At 42.7% G+C, this 6,273-nt stretch overlaps 2 annotated features.

Annotated features, from left to right (window-relative positions):
- Positions 599-1,098: an enhancer, noted in NCBI's record as "H3K4me1 hESC enhancer chr8:125811073-125811572 (GRCh37/hg19 assembly coordinates)". NCBI's record gives its function as "activates a minimal SCP1, AML or CMV promoter by ChIP-STARR-seq in naive H9 embryonic stem cells {active_cell/tissue: H9 hESC(naive)}" and the evidence as "EXISTENCE:reporter gene assay evidence [ECO:0000049][PMID:30033119]".
- Positions 1,099-1,600: an enhancer, noted in NCBI's record as "H3K4me1 hESC enhancer chr8:125810571-125811072 (GRCh37/hg19 assembly coordinates)". NCBI's record gives its function as "activates a minimal SCP1, AML or CMV promoter by ChIP-STARR-seq in naive H9 embryonic stem cells {active_cell/tissue: H9 hESC(naive)}" and the evidence as "EXISTENCE:reporter gene assay evidence [ECO:0000049][PMID:30033119]".

Genomic DNA, 6,273 nt, shown 5'->3' with positions numbered 1-6,273 from the left:
TATGTCCATCTTTTTAGCCATAAAACAACAGTGTTGGTCTTTAAGGCCATGTCCACCATGAAGGCTCTCATTTCCTAGGAGAGGAAGCAACCAGAATTGGGCAGCATAAAGCAAAATTGTCTTCATAGCCATCTGGAAGACAACCTGCCAACAAAATCCCATCACGACAGGCCTTCCATTCTAGATACTCTGCAATCAGGAAACAGCTCCTCCAACACCACGCCAGGACTTTCAGTGGCTCATATGATGGGCAGTGAGTGGGAGCTGTAGTTTTGGGTCCAGGTGAGATCACAGCTGATGGCCTTCCAGAAGCCAGCCATGCAGAGCTCCAGAAGGAACAGGTAGAATCACAAAGAGGTTGAGACTTGGCCTGAGGAGGCAGGGTAAGAAAGAACAGCATCAGTGAGCTTGAGTAAGGAGGGCATTTGGACACATCTGCAAGATTCCAAGCAGGTTAAATGTTGGATCTCCCATCAAGGGGCTTTAGGTGCTCAAAGGAATAGGATGGTATTAGAAGACTGGTTTGCTGAAAAAGTACCAGCCTTTGTACCAAGATTTTATGTTATCTCATTTAACCCTCAAAACATGTAATTATAGAGTAAATACTATTCTCTCTATTTGAAAATTGTGAAAACTGAGTTTCAGGGAATGACTGGCGTGGGGGTGCACTGTTAGTAAATAGCAGAGCCAGGAATTCAAACTCGAGTCAGTTTCATTCCCAGCCCTGATCAGAGTTGAGTTGGGTGTGAAGATTTGTTTGGGACTCAGGGCTTTGTGTTTTGTTTTTGGCATTGGGCTCCCTCCTTGCAGCCCCCAGTGCACACGTGTCTGCAGGCCTCTCTGCCTCTGCTCTCGGGGCTACGGGGCCCTCTGTGTGAGGACAGTCAGTTATTTGTCCAGGAGCCAAGGGCAGAGATCAAGGGTTCGGAGTGGTTTTACTTCCTGAGTAGGGAGGCGGCCTTGCTCTGTGGAATCCATCCTTTCGAGGAGGATGAATTTAGCTGCCCTCCCTAGTTGGTGGTGAGGGAGGCGGGCAGGGTCCTGTCAGACAGAGGATGTAGGCTTAGCTCCAAAGGGCTTTTGTCTGAGGCCGGGCCTCAGGCCAGTGACATTCTTTGGTGGAGGCTGCCAGGCCACCACTGAGAGAGGCACCTGTGGGACAGGGAGAGAAAGAGAGTGAGAGGGCTATCTTTCTTCCAGAGAAGAGGGAACCTGGAGGGTGGAATCTGCTGTTTGGGGGCCCCCAGGGTGCTAAGGCCACACCAGCAGGCACTTCAGGCTTGAGAAGACATGCCAAGGCCCAGGCTACTCAGAGATGCGGGCTATTAACTTTCCAGCTTCTGTGTTGTCTAATAAAAATCCCACAAGATGAAAGAATTGTGCTCCTTCTTGGACTTGTTTCCTATAGACATCCTAAGATCACAGAACTTTCCAATGGAAGGGGCATTGGCAGTGTCTGGTTATAACTCATGCACACCAAGTATGTCTCTATTTGTCATGCATGCTGTTGGTGCCCCATCCAGATCTCCTGTGCAGATGGGTGCACCCATGCCTGAATGCTGTGAATGATGCTCACAGCTGCCCCTTTCTCTGGAGAATTGCCCTCAGTCATCAGGAGACATCCTCCTGGGAGGTTACACACTCCCGTCCGTCCCAACCACTTGGAGCCAATGAGTAACAGAGGGGCCTCAAGGAGGCAGCGAGCCTGTGGAGAATCCCCACCCCAGAGCCCCCTGGGGGTCTGGCTGAGACTGGCCTCTGACTGAGACCACATCCTTCCTTAGGACTTGCTCTCACTCTCTTTCTTCTGAAAGCCCTTCTTTGATAAGTTTCTTGTGCAAAGGTGCCCATATTAGGCTCTACTTCTAGAAAACCTGACCTCAGACTCCCTTTTTTCAGTAATTCACTCTAGTGAGCAATTATTGAGCATTTCCCATGTTCTAGATATGGTTGTATGTGCAGAGAACACAGCAGTGAACCAAATAAACTTACTTTTCCCTCGGTGGGCTTATGGGATGGTGGGAGAAGACAAATACTAAATAATCACAAAAAAATATGGTTAGGATTATAATTAGGACTATGTATTAAAAGTATGGAGCTCATTTCCAGTAGCTAAGGCATGGAATCAACCCAGGTGCCCATCAGCAGTGGATTGGATAAAGAAAATATGGTACATATACACCATGGAATACTATGCAGCCGTGAAAAGAATGAAATCACGTCCTTTGCAGCAACATGGATGCAGATGGAGGCCATTATCCTAAGTGAACTAATACAGGAACAAATACTGCATGTTCTCACTTATAAGTGGGAGCTAAACATCGAGTACACATGGACACAAAGATTGGAACAATAGACACTGGAAATACAAGAGCCAGGGTGTGGTTGGGGAAAAAGAGGGGCAAGAGTTGAAAAACTGCATGGGTACCTGAAAAATGGTGATAGTCTTGTCACCATTGCCCAAGATCACATGGTTGTAAGTGACAGAGGCACCATTTGAATACAGGTCTGTCTGAAGGTTTTGGTTCCAGGATTCTGTACTGGAGAGAGGGCCATAAAGTTCTAAGTGCCAGCTTCATTCGGAGACTTCCTCTCAAGAAATGGCCCCAAGAGTGTTGTGCTAGGTGATTCTATGACTTGCTAGGGAATACTCTCTGCCCAATCAAATGCTCCGCACTGGATGGCCACCAAGCCCTCAGTTGGGACATTACTTTGGGAAGCAGGAGTTTTGGGTGCTTGTGCAGGAAAAAGGATGCTCAAGCTCAAGCTGTAGACCCAACAAGGCCAAGCCAGGTCTTAAACAATGAGGTGTGTGCATGTGTGTGCGTGTGTGTGTGTGTTGTGTGTGTGTGTGTGTGTGTGTGTGTGTGTGTGTGTGAAGCCAGAGGACTCGGAATCACTATCCCCCTCAGAAGAGTCAGCCAAGAGGCAGTGTTGCAACAACTGCTGTAACTGAACATTGCCTGCAGATATCTGCCCCTTGCAGCCTTAAGGAGCTCAACCAACCTCCCCCGGGAGGTGGTATAGATGAGTGGTTAGGCGTTCAGGCTTTGGAACACAAAGCCCTGAGCATAAATCCCTACTCTGCCATTTCCCAGCTGTAGGCACATGGGCAAGACATAACTGCTCTGAGACTTCATTTCTATTTTTTGTAAAATGACCCTGTGTCATTGGGATAGTGATGAAAAGTAAACCAGATACTATCTGTAAAGCATCTAGCCCAAAGGAAGTACCTAGATTTGAATAAATTGATGCTGCTCTGATAATGGTGATGATGAGCATGAAGGTGATGCCCGCTCAGAGAGTAAAAGCTACCAAATGTCTGTGCAGACCTCCACCGCCCACCTCTGACTGTGCAGCCTCCCCGCAGGTAGGACTGGAAGGGGAAATCAGATTAACAGACTTCAGCCCTTTAAGTCCATTTGTAAATTTCTGGTTGTAATGGATGTTGGCAAAGCCCTTCAATTTCATTTCCCTGGGAAATGTTATTAATATTCTGCCTGGTAAAACTTTGCAATCAATACATAAAGACCTCCTTCAAGAAGGTTGATCCTAAAGCCAGCATCTCTGGTAAACACGGCTTGTTGTTTGAGATGGTAATAATCACTGCGGCTCTTTGTTCAGTGTCTTTTGGCTGACTTTCAGTTCATGAGGAAGAGTCTGTATTGAAGCCAATTTGAATTGATTTTGCAAGTAAAATTTCAGGGGACAATGTGCCAGGTGTCTCAGAGAGCTGGAGTCTGGTGGATTCTCTGTCATCTGCTCACAAGAACCCTAACTCACGTTTGTATGGTGAGCCACAGTTTTCAAAGCACTGTACTTTCACATTCGGTATTTCATTCTATCTTCACAATAACATTGTTAGGCTAATATTGTTCTCCTTATTTTGCAATTTTCCGATTTAACAGATGAGAGAAACAATAAGAGCTTAAGGGGTACGCCTAAAGCTATATATATTATTTTACAACTGAGACCATAGAAATACAAAGAATTATTAGAGACTATTATAAACCACCAGGAGGCTGAGGTGGGTGGATCACCTGAGGTCAGGAGTTCGAGACCAGCCTGGCCAACATGATGAAACCCCATCTCTACTGAAAACACAAAAAATTAGCTGGGTGTGGTGGCAGGCGCCTGTAATCACAGGTACTCAGGAGGCTGAGGCAGGAGAATCACTTGAACCTGGGAGGCGGAGGTTGCAGTGAGCCGAGATTGCACCACTGCACTCCAGCCTGGGCAACAAGAGTGAAACTCCATCTCAAAAATAAATAAATAAATAAATATTTAAAAAATAAACCACTATACACCAAAAAATTGGAAAACCTAGAAGAAATGGATAAATTCCTGGACATGCATACAACATACCAAGATTGAACCATGAAGAAATAGAAAATCCCAGCACTTTGGGAGGCCAAGGTGGGCCGATCACTTGAGGTCAGGGGTTTGAGACCAGCCTAACCAATATGGTGAAACCTTGTCTCTACTGAAAAAATAGAAAAATTGGCTAGTTGTGGCAGCGGGCACCTGCAATCCTAGCTAATCGGGAGGCTGAGGCAGGAGAATTGCTTGAACCTAGGAGGTGGAAGTTGCAGTGAGCCGAGATTGCGCCACTGCACTCTAGCCTGGGTGACAGAGTGAGACTGTGTCTCAAAAAAAGAGAAAAGAAATAGAAAACCTCAATAAACCAATAATGAGTAATGAGATTGAAGCCATAATAAAAAGTTTCCCATCAAAGAAAAGCCCAGGATCTGATGGCTTCACTACTGAATTCAACCTTACATTTAAAGAACTAATACCAATTCTATTCAAATGCTTCAAAAAAATTGAAAAGGAAAGAATACTTCTAAACTCATCCTATAAGGCCAGCATCTCCCTGATACCAAAACCAAATAAAGGCACAACAAAAAAAGAAAAATACAGGCCATTATTATTGATGAACATAGATGCAAAAATTCTCGATGAAATACTAGCAGACCAAATTCAACAACATATTAAAAAGATCATTCACCATGAGCAAGTGAGATTTATCCCAGGGATTCAAGGATGATTCAACATACATAAATCAATAAATGTGATGCAACACATAAAACAGAACCAAGAACAAAAACCATATGATTATTTCAATAGATGCCAAAAAAGCATTTGATAAAACTCAACATCCCTTTATGGTAAAAACGATCATCAACTGAGTATAGAAGGAACATATCTCAAAATAATAAAGGCCATATACAACAAATCCACAGCTAACATCACACTGAAAAGGGAAAAATTAAAGACTTGTCCTCTAAGATCTAGAACAAGACAAGGATGTACACTTTCACCACTTTTATTCAATATAGTCCTAGAAGTCCTGGCCAAAGCAATTAGGCAAAAGAAAGAAATAGAGGGCATCCAAATTGGAAAGAAATAAGTCAAATTAGCCTTGTTTATAGATGACATGATCTCATACTTAGAAAAATCTAAAGACTCCACCAAAAAATTGTTAGAACTGATAAGCAAATTCAGTAAAGTTGTAGAATACAAAATCAACATACAAAAATCAGTAGCACTTATATACATAAACAGTGAACAATCTGAAAAAGAAATCAATTCCATTTACAATAGCTACAAAGAATATAAAATATGTAGGAATCAATGTAACCAAAAAAGTGAAAGATCTATACAAAGAAAACTATAAAATGCTGATTAAAGAAATTGAAGAGAATACAAAAAAATGGAAAGATATTCCATGCTCATGGATTGGAAGAATTAATATCGTTAAAATGACAATATTACACAAAGCAATTTACAGATTCAATGCAATCCATATCAAAATACCAATGACAGTTGTCACAGAAATAGAAAAAAATACTAAAATTTATATGGAACCACAAAAGACTCTGAATAGCCAAAGCAATCCTGAGCAAAATGAACAAAGTGGGGGCATCACACTACCTGACTTCAAAGTTTACTACAAAGCTATAGTAACCAAATCAGCATGGTACTGGCATAAAAACAGACATATAGACCAATGGAACAGAATAGAGAACCCAGATATAAATACATGCATTTACAGCCAATCCATCTTCAATAAAGGTGTCAAAGACATATAATGGGGAAAGGACAGTCTCTTCAATAAAAGTTGCTGAGAAGACTGGATATCCATATGCAGAAGAATGATGCTAGACCCCCGTCTCTCATCATATACAAAAATAAAATCAAAATGGATTAAAGACTTCAGTCTAATACCTGAAACTATAAAACTACTAGAAGAAAATAGTGAAGAAATGCTCC

This window comes from Homo sapiens, chromosome 8 (genome assembly GCF_000001405.40).
Source record: "Homo sapiens chromosome 8, GRCh38.p14 Primary Assembly".
Classification (NCBI taxonomy): Eukaryota; Metazoa; Chordata; class Mammalia; order Primates; family Hominidae; genus Homo; species Homo sapiens.
Note: the sequence above shows the minus strand (reverse complement) of the source record. Positions and strands in the feature narration are given on the sequence as shown.